The sequence below is a fragment of the Homo sapiens genome, chromosome 10, assembly GCF_000001405.40.
Source record: "Homo sapiens chromosome 10, GRCh38.p14 Primary Assembly".
In the NCBI taxonomy this organism is placed as follows: domain Eukaryota; kingdom Metazoa; phylum Chordata; class Mammalia; order Primates; family Hominidae; genus Homo; species Homo sapiens.
The window spans coordinates 112,211,218-112,228,233 of record NC_000010.11 but is presented as its reverse complement, the minus strand read 5'-3'; the positions used below and the strand labels follow the sequence as shown (position 1 = coordinate 112,228,233).

At 44.8% G+C, this 17,016-nt stretch overlaps 1 protein-coding gene across 3 annotated transcripts in view; it reads left to right on the top strand.

Annotated features, from left to right (window-relative positions):
• The first annotated feature begins 556 nt into the window (after positions 1 to 556).
• GPAM (glycerol-3-phosphate acyltransferase, mitochondrial) overlaps positions 557 to 17,016 on the top strand; it is a 77,813-nt gene continuing 61,353 nt past the window's right edge. Inside the window, exons 1-2 of one of the 3 annotated variants that reach the window (XM_047425564.1) lie at positions 557 to 743; positions 10,331 to 10,440. The gene's annotated coding sequence lies outside the window, so the exon portion shown is untranslated. Of the gene's footprint in view, positions 744 to 10,330; positions 10,441 to 12,842; positions 13,067 to 13,818; positions 13,916 to 17,016 lie in introns of those variants that run through there. The other 2 variants (XM_024448089.2, XM_005269998.2) reach the window with 2 other exon arrangements.

Here is a 17,016-nt window from a genome sequence, read left to right as displayed (position 1 = left end):
TTAGACATCTTTACAGAATCCACAAACAAAAAATGTTGTTTGTTTATCAAAATGCTAAGCAGAGCTATTAAAATGATACTATCATATTCTTTTGTTTAAAGAATAGTTTTTAGCTTCCTGTCATCCATCAGTTAATTATTATCACTAGCAACCTATCTCAGGCTGGTGGTGAGATAACACATTTGGAAGAAAGATTGTGTTTAGAAAGACCTTGAAATGATTAGTGAGGAAACTATGATTCTATTCATGTTGTCTTGTCGTGATTGCAAGTGGGATGTGGTCAATTAGTCGAGCTATGCTTTATGCATCCAGACCCTTATAATTGAGGAGCTGGCATTCTTGCCTGTCTGGGCAGGCAATTGCTCAGCAGGGAGCCTCATGGCCAGACAGGCAAGAGGGAAGAGGGCAATGTGGTTGCTCAATGAGCCTTTAGAACAAATTGATCCGGACTGTTTGTGGTTCCAAAAGCCACCCAGTACTTGCTATGTGGTTTTCCTTGTGGACAATTGGGCAATGGGAGGGGGTGGGGACAGGAAACCTTAACCTCTGCCTAGCCACTCACAGCAAGATGAGAGGCAACTGCTCAGTGCGTGTCTTCAGCTCATGCCCTCTTTCGCCTGTCTTGGCCCATCTTCTTCAGGGATGGGAACCAGCATGATGAGGGAGAAGTTACTCAAGGGGCCGTCTTCTTGGCTTCAGCCCTGTGGAAGGCCTAGTGGGCTTTGGACCTCACAGCCAATCAGGTGAGTCACTTGAGCAACTGAAGAACCAAGACAGCTTATGGCTGGGCTCCAGGATGGGGAGGTCCCAGGAGAGGGCAGAGCAGGAGAGAAGGCTCTAAGGTTAATTGGAAAGAACAGAACAGTGAAAACCCCTGAGCTCTTTCATGCTCCTTTATCCCCCAAACTATTTTGCCTAAATCAAAGGTCAGGTGTAATGGACCCTCCTTTGTGGAAAGATCACATTAACTGTCATAAGTCATTTTCTAAACTGAGGTATCAGGACAGGGTCCACAGGAAGTAAAGGAGGAAGATGCTGTGTTGATTAGAAAAGATCATAGATGTCTTTATGTAGTGAGCCTTAGAGGTTGCTGAGGCTAGCAATTGCCCTTTACTGAAATGGAAACAGCTTAGAGAACGAGAGTGGCATGCCTGAGGGGTCACGGTGTTGGGAGAAAAGCTGAATGTTGGGAGAGAAGCTGAGGCAGGGCTTGCGTGTCTGACATAATGTAAAAGAGTCTTGGAACATGTCCGGGGTCCAGGGTCTAAAACCCCTCGTGGCCTTTGGAACACCAAGCTCTGTGCTAAAGGGTGGAAGTCTGCCCTGCTGCACTATAATCTAAGCCCAGGGCATAAAACCCCTCATGGCTTGGATGGAATCCAGGGCTCAGGGCATAAAACCCCTCGTGGCCTCTGGAATGTGTCTAGACTTGCTGACTCCTTGCTTCTAGCACTCTTACTATCTCAAGTAGCAGAACACGTTCCATATGCTTCAAAGAAAATGCTAAACCATCACAGCTGCAGCTCAGTCGCTTGATGCATCACTTTCTCTCAACCCTCACAACCTCACCACCTGTTTCTCTGTTTGATCACCAATAAATAGCATGGGCTCCCAGAGCTCGGGGTCTTTGCAGCTTCCATACTAGTGTTGGCCCCCTGGTCCCACTTTCTTGTCTTTTCTCATTTCTTTGGCTCTGCTGGACTTCATAGCCCCCATGGCCTGGTGTTGGGTCTGATCACCCCAACACAGGGTGCAACTGGGCTTCTTTACACCAGGCCTAGTGATCCTTGCCCATGTCTCTTCTGAGCCTCCTTTTCTATTTCCAGTGGGAAATGGCTCACACTTCCCTGCAGCCTCTGTGTTCTAATTGTTGTGCTCTGCAAGTCCTACTTCTTCCCCTCCCACACTCTCCACAACGATGACCTTCTTTTCAGGGGCAAAACCCACCTGGTTCCAGAAAAGCACATATCACATGCTGAGAACATAGTGGGTGCTCAGGCAATGTCAGTCTTCTCCCTCCTTTAGCATCTCCTTGATCTCTGGAAGATCAGGAAGCAATTGGAAACCCAAACTAGATGACTTTTATGTGCTAAACTACATTGCAAGCTATTTGGGCAAGGGGTTTGCTTGGTCTGTCCTGTAAACTCAGGGCCTAGCTTGGGATCTGGCACATAGTGGGTGCTCAATACAAGCTTGTTGACAAAATAAATGAGCACCATGGGAAAAATGGTGTGATCCTCAGAGCAGTCAGGGGAGGCTCCCAGGGGAGGTGGGGCTGAGCTGGGCTCTAGAAACAAGGCTACTTGTGATTCCTTTGTTTATTCATTATATCGATTTAATAAATATTTATTGTGCCAGGCATTCTTCTAGATGAAGGGAACACCGCAGCGAGCAAAACAAAACATGCTTGCCATTAAGAAGCTGACACCCTAGTGGAGGGGGATAGTTGATAGACAATGAGCTCTGCAATGTTTTATGATGATTCATGTAATGGAGGAAAATGAAGGCAGGTAGCAGGGACAGAGATGCTGGGTGGTGGTGGGGAGTCGAGGGGAAGCTGACATTTTATATGGAGAGGTCAGAGAGGGCTTTACTTATGGAAAGGGGACTGTGAACTGCTGTGTAGCAGATCACAGTGCCAGGGGATCCCACTCAGACTCCCACAAACCCATGAGTCCCCAGAATATTCTTTCCCCTTTGCTTCCCCATGTAAACATCCTGGTAGTGGAATCAGGCTGGCTGACTGGCTGGCATAGGTAGGAGGGTGGCATTGTGGAATGGAAAGGTGGTGGTGGTCACACCCAGACACGGTGGTCACACCCAGACTAGGTACTCAGTACCCAGAAGTTTTGAACCCCAGTCCCTGGCTTTCCAGGACTTGACTCAATGGTCCCCACCCTCAGGACTCTTCCCTCCAGGAACCAGCAGCTCCCAGGCAAGGCCATTAGAGGGGCTTATCCAGTGCTGGGCTCTCCTCTGGGATTTTGGAATTGTGGGCAAATTTGTGCTTGTGTGTGTGGTGAGGGAATCTGGATAGTGTCACATTGTGAAAAGGCAGCACATCCTGCATTCTAGACCAGAAGCTGAAATCCAGGTTGGGGTGCCATCCACCCCATTCTGGCGGAGACCCCTGGGGCCACTTTCTTGCTGGGGAGTGAGGCTGGCACATGGGATCACCAGGCCGGCCCTGACCAGGCAAAGTCATCCTAAGGCATGTGCTTCAAACTAGAATGTTGAGTGTTCTGCTTAATGAGAAGGCTATATGCATTCTGTGGAAATGACTGTGATACTAACTGGTCTGGGATTATTGTTGTTTGGATATAAACAAAGAGGTGATCCTGGAGGCTGGAGAACTTGCGGTGACTATCGCACATGCATTTTTCCTGCCGAGAGCTCCATGGCTGTCATCTGATTCCAAAAGGGGTGGTTGACTTCCAAATGGCAAAGATTCATCTATTTAATATTCATAAGGGTCTTTGGATTCTTAGGGGCAGAAAAGGATGTTTTTAGTCCTTAGTACTTGCATATTTTACAGAAGGCTTTTTGATCTTTCTGATCAACAAGTTTGAATAGAGAGAGGAAATGTCAAGGTTGCCTTCCCAAAACACAAAAACAAACAGCTTCAAGGAGAAGAGAGGCCAGGGGAACACGGTGTTTCCCAGTTATGATGGGCTTTGCTTTGAATACAGACACTTGCTTGGAGGGAATCTAAGATAGCTTGCAACTCTCTCTCAGCACCTGTGTCTTGCAGTGGAGGAAATTTAAACCTTGCCTCCTGAACTGCAACCTAAGGCCAGAAAGCTCAGCTCATTTTCTGCCAGTGGAGAAACAAGGCAGACATTTATCTGTACATACTAAAAGAATGCATCCCTACTTTCCAGGAGATGGGAAAACAGCACTTTGGGCCTAGTTGTTCTTGCTGCAAAAAAATAACCATGATCATTGTGTATGAAATAATTTAACTTATTATTACTTAAATTGTATTTTAAATGGCTGGGATTTTTTTTGCTCCAGATAAGAATGTTTTACATTGAAGGAATACTTTATACTTTTCAAAACACTTTTATATTCATTATTACTGAATAATTGGTCTCAGTTTTCTCAGTTGGGGGGTGTGGGATGTGAACAAATCAAGAGGAAATGATAGACATCACTACACATGTCATCTTAGCTTGATTGGTCACCCTGTGTTAAGAAGGATGCTGAGGCTGCTTCTGAACTCTGCAGGAAGGCGCTTCCTGATGGATTAGTCAGGTCTATGATGAATGTCAGAGGAAGGATCTAGTTACCTAAAACCCTGTGATGCCTGTTATCTTTTCCAACCATAAGCGTCCATGACTCTAGGGCAAGGGTCAGTAAATTACAGCCCTGGGACCAAGTCCAGCCCACCACAAGTTTTTATTTGAATAGAATTTTGCTGTAGTCTTTGTTTATATTGGCAGCTTTTGTGCTACATGGCACAGTTGATTAGTTGTAAAAGAGACTGTATGACCCATATAGCCTAAAATATTTGCTATTTTGTTCTTTTCAGAAAAGTTTGCAAACCCTGTCTTAGGGCAGTTTAGAGTACTTCTAAAAAACATAAATATATCCAACATCTCCATGAAGGAGGAAGGAAGATCCTAGTAGCCTTACTTTAAGAATAAAGAAAGTGAGGGAACATAAGAAGTGATTTGCTTAAGGTCACAAGGCCAGGTATCACTGTATAGGTTCCCTAACGCCCTCAGTTCATTCCACTGCAACATGTGACTTCAAAATAGAATGTCCTAGTTTGATGTGGAAAAGTTGATTTAGTTTGTTTTAGGATAAGAGTTACACACCACATATTTAGCTGTAAACTAGGAGATCGATAGAATTTTTTTCATGTGCAAGACAGGGAGCTTGGAAATCCCTGGTTGTTATTGGATCTCAGGCACTTCACCTATTCAACAGTGTGAGTCCTCCTAGAAGAAGATACTGAAACAGGAGTAGATATGTAAAAGATTTATTGGGGGAGGTGTTTATGAAGGGTGAAAGGAAATGGAGCAGAATTAGGCTGGCCTTGGACCATGCTACAGGTCTGAGTCCTGTGAAAGGAGAGAGCAAAGGAAGGATTAGGTCAGAGGAGCCTCAGACCACAGGGCAGCTCTGAGAAAGGCTGCCAGACTGATGAGAGAAGGCTACATGGGGAGAAAGGGAGAGGCCTGGCTCCTATGCCACCATTGTATTCAGCTGCTGACCAGGAGTGGCCTGGGGTACATGTGGCCCTGGCAGGAATGGCATGGTGGAGTCAACAGGACAGCACCGAGAGGCTGTCAGTCAACCAGGCACCTGCAGAAGGTTCTCTTGAAGGGGAATCTAAACAGTGCTCCTCTGTGGCTGGCATGGCATGGATCATTTACCCACGCCATGGGTAAATGGTGTGGCTGGGCCTGGCTCTGTGCTAGGCCTGGAGACTACAGAGATCTGAGAGAACATTGTTCTCAACCTCAAGGCAGCTCATGATCTAGCTGGGAAGACTGAACATGCACACCTGAACAAGCAAATATACATAAGGCAATAATAAAAGGGGGTGCATAGTGGAGTAGCCTGAAGTTATCAGGAACAATGTGTGCCATGCTTCAAAGAGGGACCCTGGGAGGAAAGCCTGAGATGTTCCCATTTGGCATGAAGACAGGTATGTGTGCAGGGTGCTCTGAGTCATTTCAGCCTTCCCCAGGCTCACAGGTCACCTTCACCCATCTGGCATTCATTGAATACCTACCAAGTACAAGGATCTATGCCAGGTATAGCAAATAGGTGGGTTCTTGGCCATAAACAAACTTACGATATTGAGGGGTGTTATAGGCATTGATGAGTCATTTTAAAAAACAAATCGATAGAAATATGTCTGGGTTTGCGTGGGACTCTTAATGACTAGAATCTTGCTAATATTCAGGTTAGGCACAAACAGTGGGCAAAATCATTCATTTAGCAACCATATATTTGTAAAGCTCTATAATGCATGATGCAGTGGTAGGAAGGAAGTCTTTTCTTTCAATTCATTATAAAAAATAGAAAAAATTTAAATTTAGAAAAATGAGAAAAATATAGAATAACAAATTATAAAGCACCTGAATAACTCATCACCCAACTTCAACAATTGTCAACTCATGACAAATTTTGTTTCACCTTTAGCATCACCCACATCCTCTCTCTTGTATTAGTTTGGAACAAATCCCCAGACATCATATCATTTCACTGGTGAATATTTTGGTAGGTATCTCTGAAGGATAAGGATGCTGTTTTTCTTTTGAAATATATCCAGAATACTACTACACATGTCACCTTTGTGAGTCTCGTTTTCTTATTTATGAAATGAACATAGTGGTATCTATTTTGCAGCGTTATTATCTGCATTTTATATGAAGTGCTTGGTTCATATTTAGCCATAGTCATATTCCCTGTTATGATTATAGCACGTATGAGAAATTGTGACTCAGAAGGGCATAGAAGTCTGCATTTCAACAGGATATCAAAGTGGTTCTGATGCAACAGTGGCCAAGACCACATGTTGAGACACACTGTTCTGGGGTATACAATGACAGATTGGTGCCATCTTTTTAAAACCTAAGTTGAAGTATGTCACTTTCAGACATTTTCCAGAGCTTTCAGGACACACTTAAATGCCTTATCTTATACTCAAGGTTCTTCAGACCTAGAGCCAGTGATTCTTAAATTTGAGTGGGCATCATAATTACTTGGGCATTCTGTTAAAATGCAGATTCCCAGATTCTGTCCCCAGGGCTTCTGGGGTGGTGCCTAGGAATCTGTATGCTTATTAAGTTCCTGAAGACTAGTGATACAGGGGTCCTCCCACCACACTTTGATGACTCTAGATTACAGAAGTAAGAGAGACAAACCCACAGCCATCTGGAGGATTGGCTCTCACAGTCTACTTAGAATATTTGGTCACCGTGCAAGAGTAGGTAGGTATGTGTAAGCAAGTGCATATTATGTCCACATTAAGGGGCAAAAACTGGCAGCCCACAGACTAAGTTTATCTTGAAATCTGTGTGTGCTTTCTGGCTTGTACAGTATTTCATATCTGTGAATGTTTACCAAATTAAAAAAAATGGAGATTTCACATTAAAATCCTTATTTCTAGCCTCCTTTGAAAATAAAAAGATTTGACCACACTGAGACTACATTTTCCCATGGCAATATTGGGCTGGAGATAGTAGATGCCATTGGATGTGATATATATTGTCCACTTGACCCCAGTCCCCACTACTTCTCATTAATCACGTCTAACCCAGTTTTCTCATTTATATTGGCTGCCTGGTGCTAAGATGTTCTGAATTTGTGAATAATCTCCCCATGTAAGTTGACGTGTGTGTGTGTGTGTGTGTGTGTGTGTGTATTTGAGATCTGTCCTTGGCAGTGCAGATCAAAGCCAAATCAAAGATGGGTTTAGTTTGGTCATGACATGCACATCAATGGTACACATCATTGGGTAACACCATTAATGGAAGTTTCCACAAATCTTCTCTGGGATGAAAGAACCATCCCAGAGAAAAAATACTCAGAAGATAGCTGCAGCAAAGTAATTGTCCTCGTTACAGGAGTCAGTTTCTTTACTCAAGTGATGACATACAATAAGAAGATCACCACAAACCCACTATTCAAGGACAGGCTTTTACCTAGCCTCAAGGAAATTAAAACTAAAGCCACTCACACCCTTCTCTGAAGGCAACAAAACACATATAGCTAAAAGCAAAGATACATGCATATGAATATATGTGCACACAGAGATGTATTCTCACAGTTATATATGAGTATGGCTCTAGATGCATGTATGAAACCACCCAGTGGTTCCATTTTGCCTACTGCCTAGATAGAGCCAATTTATCAAGACAGGAGAATTCCAATAGAGAAAGAGTTTAATTCATGCAGAGCCTGCAGAATGGCAGACAGGAATTTTATTACACAAATCAATCACCCGAAACATTCAGAGGCTAGGGTTTTTCTAGGATAGTTTGGTGGGCCAGGGAATGGGTGCTGCTGATTGGTTGGGGATCCAATCATAGGGGTGTGGAAAATGGTCCTCCTGCCTGCTCAGTCTACTTCTGGGTGGGGCCACAGATCCAACTGGCTGTCTGGGTGGAGCCATCAGTAGTCAGAAATGCAAAAACCTGAAAAGACATCTAAAAAGGCTTATCTTAGGTTCTACAAGAGCAATGTTATCTGCAGGAGTAATTGGAAAAGTGGCAAATCTTGTGACCTCCAGAATAATGGCTGGTAATTGTTTACCTTAGCAGAATTCAGGCTCCTTTCATTCTCCTGACCTGGTGGTCTTTCATTAGTTTTACAAAGGTGGCTTAGTTTTAGGGAAGGGCTATCATTTAAACTATAAATTAAATGTCTCCCAAAGGTCACTTGGCCAGACCCCAGGAATGATTAAGGGCATTTTGGAGGTTAAAGGCAAATTGGGGTTGCTTAGATCAGATCTCTTCGACTGTCATAATCTCACTGTTATATAATTTTTGCAAAGGGGGTTTCATGTATGCTGCAAACACACACAAGTGATTTTGGTAGTGCTAGAATAATCGCAGGAGGGAAAATGTAATAAGTGACAGCTTGCAAAAGACAGAAAGAAAATGAATTTAAGAACTCTCTTAGGAGTGGGAGCATGAAATGATAGAAAAATTATGGATTTTGGAGTCAATCTGACAGTGACGTGCCTGATATGTACTGAGTTCTGTAAGTAATGAAAATAAAAGGGAAATCAAATGAAGTTGGCAGGATCTTGGTGCCACGAATCAAGATCCAGGGGCTGTGAGGTGCCTAGCTGGTTCCAGACCTCTGGTACTTCCACATCCCTGCTGTCCTTTCCGTCATCCCCACTCCCAGGTGAAAGCACTTTGCACTGGAATCTCCATCTCAGACATGACCTGTGGCCAGGCCCTGTCACCTGTGTGCACTTGGCCTGCTCAGCCTCCTCTCTACCCCCATGGAGAGCTTTACCCCCTTTTGGGAAGGTCCTTTTCTGGTGCTGCTCTGCCAGGGCTGTGGGCTTTGGTTGGGACTGGACAGGTGCTGAGAATCTGGGAGGATGCTGTCACTCTCAGTCACCACATTTGTCGTCCCTGAGTCAGAGGCATTCAAACCAGTGACTCCATCTTGAATAGGGGCTGGTAAAATGAGGCTGAGACCTGCTGGGCTGAATTCCCAAGAGGTTAGGCATTCTTAGCCACAGAACGAGATAGGAGGTTGGGGCAAGATACAGGTCACAAAGACCTTGCTGATACAACAGGATGCAGTAAAGACGCGGGCTAACACCCACCAAAACCAAGATGGCTACAAAAGCAGCCTCTGGTCATCCTCACTGCTCATTATGTATTAATTATAATGCATTAGCATGCCAAAAGACACTCCCACGTGCACCATGACAGTTTACAAATGCGAAGGCATTTACCCTGTGTAGTCTAAAAAACCTCATGAGTTGAAACCTCAATTCCGGGAACTCCTCACACCTTTCCTGGGAAATTTGTGAATAATCCATCCCTTGTTTAGCATATAATCAAGGAGTAACCATAAGTATATTCAGTTGAGCAGTCCATGCTGCTGCTCTGTCTATGGAGTAGCTGTTCATTTGTTTCTTTACTTCTCTTAGAAACTTGCTTTCACTTCACTCTGTGGACTTGCCCCAAATTCTTTCTTGCACCAAGAACCCTCTTTTGGTGTCTGAATCAGGACCCCTTTCTGGTAACACCAGGTTGATTTTTTTTTCTTATACCATCCTACCCAGCGCATCTCCCTTATTGTTTATCTGGTGACCTCAAGGGTTTGGATAAAACATTCCTTGCAATGGGTCAAGCTGAGAACTTGGCGAGCCTTCAGTGAAGTCCTCTCCATCTCTCCATAGTCGCTCTGTTTTCTCTCCTTTGTAGCCATCTTCCCCTGCATCTTGAGACTCCCATGATCCTTAATCCATTTCCGTGTGCCCCTGCTCTGTATGGCATCCTCCTCAGCCAGTCCTACCCCATCTGCAGTGCTTTCACCCAGAGTTCACCTTCCTCTCACTTGAACAAGCCAGGCAGCTGCAGAGGCACTGCCCTCAGTAGGCTGTTAGGAAGGAAGCAAGTTGATCTCACCTGTGTCTGGGAATCAGATTTCTATCTTCCTTTGAATCGTCAATGGCCAGCTTGCTAGCTCTGTGCCTTTTGGTAAGATATTCAGTCTTTCTGAGCCTTAGGTAAAAATGTTTTAAATGCCAACATAACAGCTATTTGTTGACCTCATTGCCATTTTCTCCATAAACAATGAAGTCCTTTTAAATTTCTTTCTTTTTTTCTCTTGATCTAAACAGCTAGGAAGCCAAGACTGAATATGTAGGAGAAGAATAAAGACCTGTTTTGTGTGTGAAGAGTTGGAGTAGGAAGATCACAGGACTTCATTCTGGCTTCAGTTCCTGCCTGGGTAGATTTTGGCAAGTTACTCTAAAGTTTCTGATTCTCCAGCACCTCATCTTTGAAAGGGCAATAAAAATACTACCTTCCTTTTGCTTAGGGTTGTAGGGAGGGTTACATGAGACAGAATGTATAATTGTGCTTTATGCACTGTGAAAATCTGTGTAAATGTTAGACTTGGCTACTGCTATGACATCATAACTTCTGGCGGGAGAGAAGCCCTTTAATGACTAGCTCTCTCGCTTGCTTTGTTTCTTTCCTGTTTCCCTGCTATGAGGTTGTGAATTCGTGGCTATAAGGGTATGCAAACTTGTACATGAATGTCCATAGCAGCATTATTCATGATATCACAAAAAAAAAAAACAAACAAAACGTGGAAACCACCCAAATGTCCTCCAGCAGATGAATGGTGGATATTTGTGACTGTATAAATTGTAGTATATTTATACTATGTAATATTATTCATCAATAAAAAGAAATGAAGTAAACCTTGAAAACTTTATGCTAAGAGAAAAAAAACAGCTGCAAAGGTCACATATCCTATGATTGCATTTATAGGAAATGTCCAGAGTAGGCGTTTCTGATCTATAGAAGACATACAGTAGATCAGTAGTTGCCTAGAGCTGGATGAGGTGTTGGCAGAGTTGCGGGTGATCGTTAATGGGAAGGGGGTTCTTTATGGGGTGATGGAATGTTCTAAAATTCATTCTGCTCATGGCTGCACAACTCTATGTCTGTATTTGAAATCACTGAACTATATATACGCTTTAAATGGGTAAATTGTATGGTGTGTGCATTATATTTCAATGAGACGTTATATATCAATTTTTTTTTTTTAAGGAGTGGAGATACACACCTTTGCTTTTTCTCCTTCTTTTCCCAGTAGGAGTGGTGGCTTACACCTGTAATCCCAGCACTTTGGGAGGCTAAGGCAGGTGGATAACCTGAGGTCAGAAGTTCGAGACCAGCCTGGCCAACATGGTAAAACCCCGTCTCTAGTAAAAATACAAAAATTAGCTGGGCATGGTGGTGGGTGCCTGTAGTCCCAGCTACTTGGGAGGCTGAGGCACGAGAATCGCTTGAACCTAGGAGGCAGAGGCTGCAGTGAGCCAAGATCACACCACTGCACTCCAGCCTGGGGGACAGAGTGAGACTCTGTCTCAAAAAAAACAAAAAAAGTAATTAATTAATAAAAATAAAAAAGGAGAGGAGATACACACCTTTGCTTTTTCTCCTTTCCCCAGTAGGAGCCCTGCAGGGGGTCCCCTTGGAGAATATTTGACTGTACTTGTCCCTCTGACTTGGATCCGCTTCCTGTCTACCACTGCTGGTTTTGTTGTGGTTCCTTTGGACAGGCCCATACCCTTCAAGACAAGCCCTCTTCACCAGTCCCTGCCATTGGTTCCACTGCACTAAGGACTTCTTTCACAAACTGCTACCTCCTGTGCTGACATTGTTTTGGGAGGGCAGGGAACTGTGCCAGGTTTGGCTCACCTCAGTGCCCCCAGTCAGCACATCTCTACCAGAGTAGATGCAAAATAAATAACTGTTGAACGAATGCATATTTACCTAATAAGAGGGTTCCCCTTAAGTTCCTTTAAATATTGAGCTCTAATATATCAAGACCCTTTGAGGGTTTGTCTACCAGTCTATAGGGCCTGTAAGAGCCTCAGAGGAAGGAGAGGGAGTTTTTATGCATGTAGTCTTTGCAACAACTAAGCAGGAAGCGACTGACAGTGTTTAAAGTCACATGGACACAGCTAGCAAGGGCCTTTATTCGCCCCTACACCTTCTTAGTTCCCAGAACCTACTGTCTTTACTAGAGCTCTTCATAAGCCGAACAGAGCAATAATAGTTTTGAAAGGGGAGGGTGGCAGCAGCTGGAAAGAGGATGAAGAAATAGAGAAGACCAAAGTCATGACTGCTTAAAGACAAATACGAAATGCACATAAAGCATCTCCAACATCTCTCCACAACCTTCTCAGGGTCACAGTCAGTGAGCTGCACATCTGGTGTCAAATAGGCTCACCCCATGGGGACCCCAGCCCCGCTCAGCCCCAGTCAAACCTCCCTTCCCCTCAGCAGTGAGAAATGCAAATTGGAAACAGCCAGGCCCGGAGCCTGACGCCCCATGTGAACACTCAAGCTGTGGACACCTCCGCTGAGAATGAGGTTACTGAGCTCAGAGCTTTACTCCCCAGTTAGAAAATCCCCACCAGGCAATGCGAAGAAGACACCATTCATTGCATCATTAAATTGTAACAAGCCCTGAAATGCACTCCAGAAGCCTGGGTCTGTTTGTCCTTGCAGTCGGAAGGAAGCCTGTGATTGGCTGGCCAAGCTCAGCCTAGCAGGCCTTATCTCTGACTGGTTATTATTTGATTAAAGAGGCTTCCTCCTCTTGCGGTGTTTCAAAACTGCATTGGGAGAATTTGCTGCTGCGGGGGGACTCTTTCTGAGGTTACTGTGGAGCACCCAAAGTCTGTCAGCCTCTGGCCGTGCAAACAGGCACCCAGAGGAACCAGACCTTGCTTATTCACCCACAGCCTGGGACTGTCTTCTCCAGAGTCTCCATCAGCTTTGCTAATCGACTGATTGGAAATAATTCCTCAAACACCACCAAGTCAAGGATACAGGTATTTAAAAACCTGGGGTGCAGGGAGTAATTTCTTAGGATGTCATGACATGAGACACGGGGGTAGGACGAGGAAGCCTGGGAAGCAGCGTGGAATGCAGGAGAGGCAGACACAGTAGGAAGAAGAAAGTCAAAGAAAAGAACTCAGAATCATGGAATTCTGTGCAAAGGCAAAACTGAGGTGCTTGGGCATAGTTATTTGCAGCTGACAAGAGGTGCAAGCACGTTTGTGATGTAACATTCACATCTGTGTGCATTTGCTCCTCATGAAATCCTTCCCGAGTTTTTGCTACTCTTTTGGCCTCCATGAAATCCTCCATCCTGGCTCAGAACCCCCAAATCCTGAGAAGGTTTTGGACAGTTTATGAAAAATCTAATTGCTTTAGCTTGAAACGTCACCAAATCTGATTTGCAAACGGCACATGGCCTTCAAAGGCTCTGCTTAGTAGTACAAATCCTGGTACCAATCCTCGTGATGTTGGCTACAGAGGAAAGAGGAGGAGCTGAGAATGTCTTTTATGAAAGTTTGATTCCCACTTTAAGATCTGTGTTTAACGGGTGATATTCATTCTTATCCCCACTGTATTCCCTACTCAGGGTTGTTTTCTGAGCTTGGATCGGGCAGATAGCTTTATGTCAAAGGACTTTCTCACTGTAGAGGAAAGCTGGGCTCCATATGGGGCCAGCAGGATTTAACCATCTGGAATGAAGATCAAAGACAGCAGAAAAGACAGACTTCATTCTCTCTGTTAGGTTTGGCTGGAGATGGCAGCAGAGGGGAAGATACGATGCAAAACCAAGGAAATCAATACTTTTGTTTTAGTATTGAGTGGAAAAGAATGTTTTTACGGTATGTCAGTATTCTTAACACTGATTTTTCCCTATATGCATTTCAGGTTAAGAAATAACCATGCCAACCGCATTTCCTCTCTCCACTCTTTGTGTCTGTCTTTATTCCCAAGTACTTCTGTCCGTGTTGTCTTAATTCCCAGTGTTGGTATCCAGATCGTCCCTGCTTTGTTAGCCACAGTGGGATGAGTCTGTGGATCCCCCCACAGGATGGTGGAGATGCTTCCTGTGCTGACTGCTGTGGTCCTCAGGGAGCTTTCACTGCAGGGGTCCCGTGGGATTTCCTGAGATTATCCAGAGTATGAGGGCCTAGAAGTTTGTCATAATGACTCACGCTCCTCTTCATAAATTTATGGAAACTGCCAAGAGGTGGAGGACAAGCCCAGTGCAAGGGGTTATACCTCTTGGATGTGATTCTTCTCTGCTCTTTTGGAACATTTTCTCCCTTTGCCATTGCCAGCATAGTCTGGATCCTGTGTGCCTCTTGGGCCTCTTTTCTCATCCTTCTCTACCTCTGTCTCACCACAGAAACACTCTTTCAGTTTTCTGGACCCACCATGGTCGAACCTTATCACATGTTATCTTGTCTGCTTAAAGCATTCTTCACCCTACCCTGCCTCTGGGTCTGACCAAGTCAGGAGATTAGTCAGGTCTCTTTCTGAGTAAATCTACTTCTTCTGCTATGAGGTTAGGGTCCCCTGAACTTCCCCTTATTGGACCACTAACCATATTGTCTTATGATTGCTTGTTTCCTGATCCATTGCCCCCACCAGACTGACAGCTGTGAAGGCAGGGTTCATGCCTTTATAACTCTCAGCCAGGACCCCAGAGCCTAGGAATCTGTGACACCCGGTAGGCTCTTTCTTGTGATAATGGCTAACATTGATGGAGTGTTTTCTATATACCCAACACTCTTCTAAGGGCTTTATCTTATTAACTCAGTCCCCACAATGAGCCACTGAGGTCACTGAGGTGAGTGTCAACCCATTTAATGAATGAGCAAACTATAAGTTAAGGAAACTGCCCAAGTTAACACAGTAAATGGCAGACTTCAGAGCCCATGCTTTTTTTTCTTTACATCTATGTCATCATGACCACTCTAGGGCTGAAAGAGCCAGTGAGAAATGAATGAATGATAGCAGGCTGATGGTAAAAACATTGTAACTGTTTCACATGCTCGGTTGGACCCATTCATTCAGCTGGGCCTATTGAGCACTGACCATGTCCCAAGCTGTGAGCAAGGCTTTGAGAATACAGTGATTAGCAAGCACAGACCCTGAGCTGAGATGCTTTCAGTTCTGAGATCTGCTCTGTTCTCCCTGTCAAGATCAGCTTTCCCGTCCCTCTCACCTGCCTTGGTAGCCAGGGTTAAGCACTTACAGGCTTTCGCCTAAACATGAAGAGGAGCTCCAAATCGTTTTTCCAGCCTTGAAGTAAGTGCTTAATGAAGCTACCATTGTCCAGAAGCTGACTGTATCTCAGGCACTGTGCTGAGTGCTTTGCCCTGGCTGATCTCATATTTCCTCCTTATGAGGTAGAGGGATTACCACCACCCTGTGTTTCAGATGAACAAACCAAGGCTAAGAGAGCATAAGGAATATGCCCAAGCTGGTAAGTGCTAGAGCTGAGACTCAATGGCAGGCTGGTCTAGCCTCCAAGCCTTTGCCCTTTTCATCAACCAGGGGCTTTCTCGAGACCCTAAGCTTTGGGTTCACTGCATCCTGATGACTGGTTTCTGTTATTAAAAGTAACAGCGAGGCCGGGCACGGTGGCTCATGCCTGTAATCCCCGCACTTTGGGAGGTCGATGCGGGCGGATCATGAGGTCAGGAGATCGAGACAATCCTGGCTAACATGGTGAAATCCCGTCTCTACTGAAAATACAAAAAAATTAGCCAGGCAAGGTTGTGGGTGCCTGTAGTCCCAGCTACTCGGGAGGCTGAGGCAGGAGAATGGTGTGAACCCAGGAGGCAGAGCTTGCAGTGAGCTGAGATCGCACCACTGCACTCCAGCCTGGGCGACAGAGCGAGACTCCGTGTAAAAAAAAAGTAACAGCGAAAACCGGAATTACTTTTGCACCAACCTAATAATATTCCTGTCAGACAGATATTCCTGTCTGTCTGCCTCCCCAGTTACTGAGTTGGGGTTTTCTCCCTGCTTAGTGGTCCTCAGCCCCCTCTTCCTTGACTGGACCCCTGACCTAACATCTTTTCTGACCACTGACAATTGTGGGCTCCACACTTATGCCTGATTAGGCAAGACGGGGCACCTGCCTGGGGACACCTGCTTTGGGCCGCCCTTAGTCTCCAAGTGGCCCTTCCTCTTCTCTTCTCTCAGGGAATGGTCTTGGAGCATCTGGTTCTAGAACATCATGTTTGAAAAAGTCTAAACCAAGGTCCCCAGCTTAAGAAACCCTCATACATCTGTTAATCTTTTGTTAGAAAAGCAGACAGCCTAAGGAAAAAGGTCATTAGAATCCAGAGCTGAATCTTGCTTTTTTCACTTGTTATTTAAATTGTTCAAGCTCTAGTTTCCTCCTTTGTAAAATGGGTGTAATACTTTCTCATGAGGTTACTTTGAGAGTACAGATTCTGTGTTCTGTAAATATGGGTTGTGTGCTTACTGTGTGTGAGGCACACAGCGGGTAGAATAGAGAATGAGGCTGAGAAAGCTGCGTGCCCTTGTGGAACTTGCAGTTGAATGGGGATGACCGACATTTAAAAAATCACACAAACAAATAGCTCAGTCCCATATGTGATGAGAAAAAGAACAGAGGACCTAGTTTCGATGGGGTGGGAGACCCACTGATGAACCAATAGGATTTGAATCCTTAATAGCCCGCCTCGACCAGAATGCAGGAAGTTCTCAATACTTGCCGCCCTGGCCATGGACCTGCACCTCTCTGGGGCTCAGAGTCTGTGAGAATAAAATGAGAGAGTTGGACTGAATGATTCCTAAGACTGAGTTGGCCACCTCTAGCATTTTGTTATTTGATGGCAGGTTAGATCCAGGTGAAACGAGGGCCTCTGACTCCCTATCCTGGGCTCTTCTTCCCCAGGTGCTTCTGCTGGTGGAGAGAAGCTAGGCCCAAACTCAAGGACGG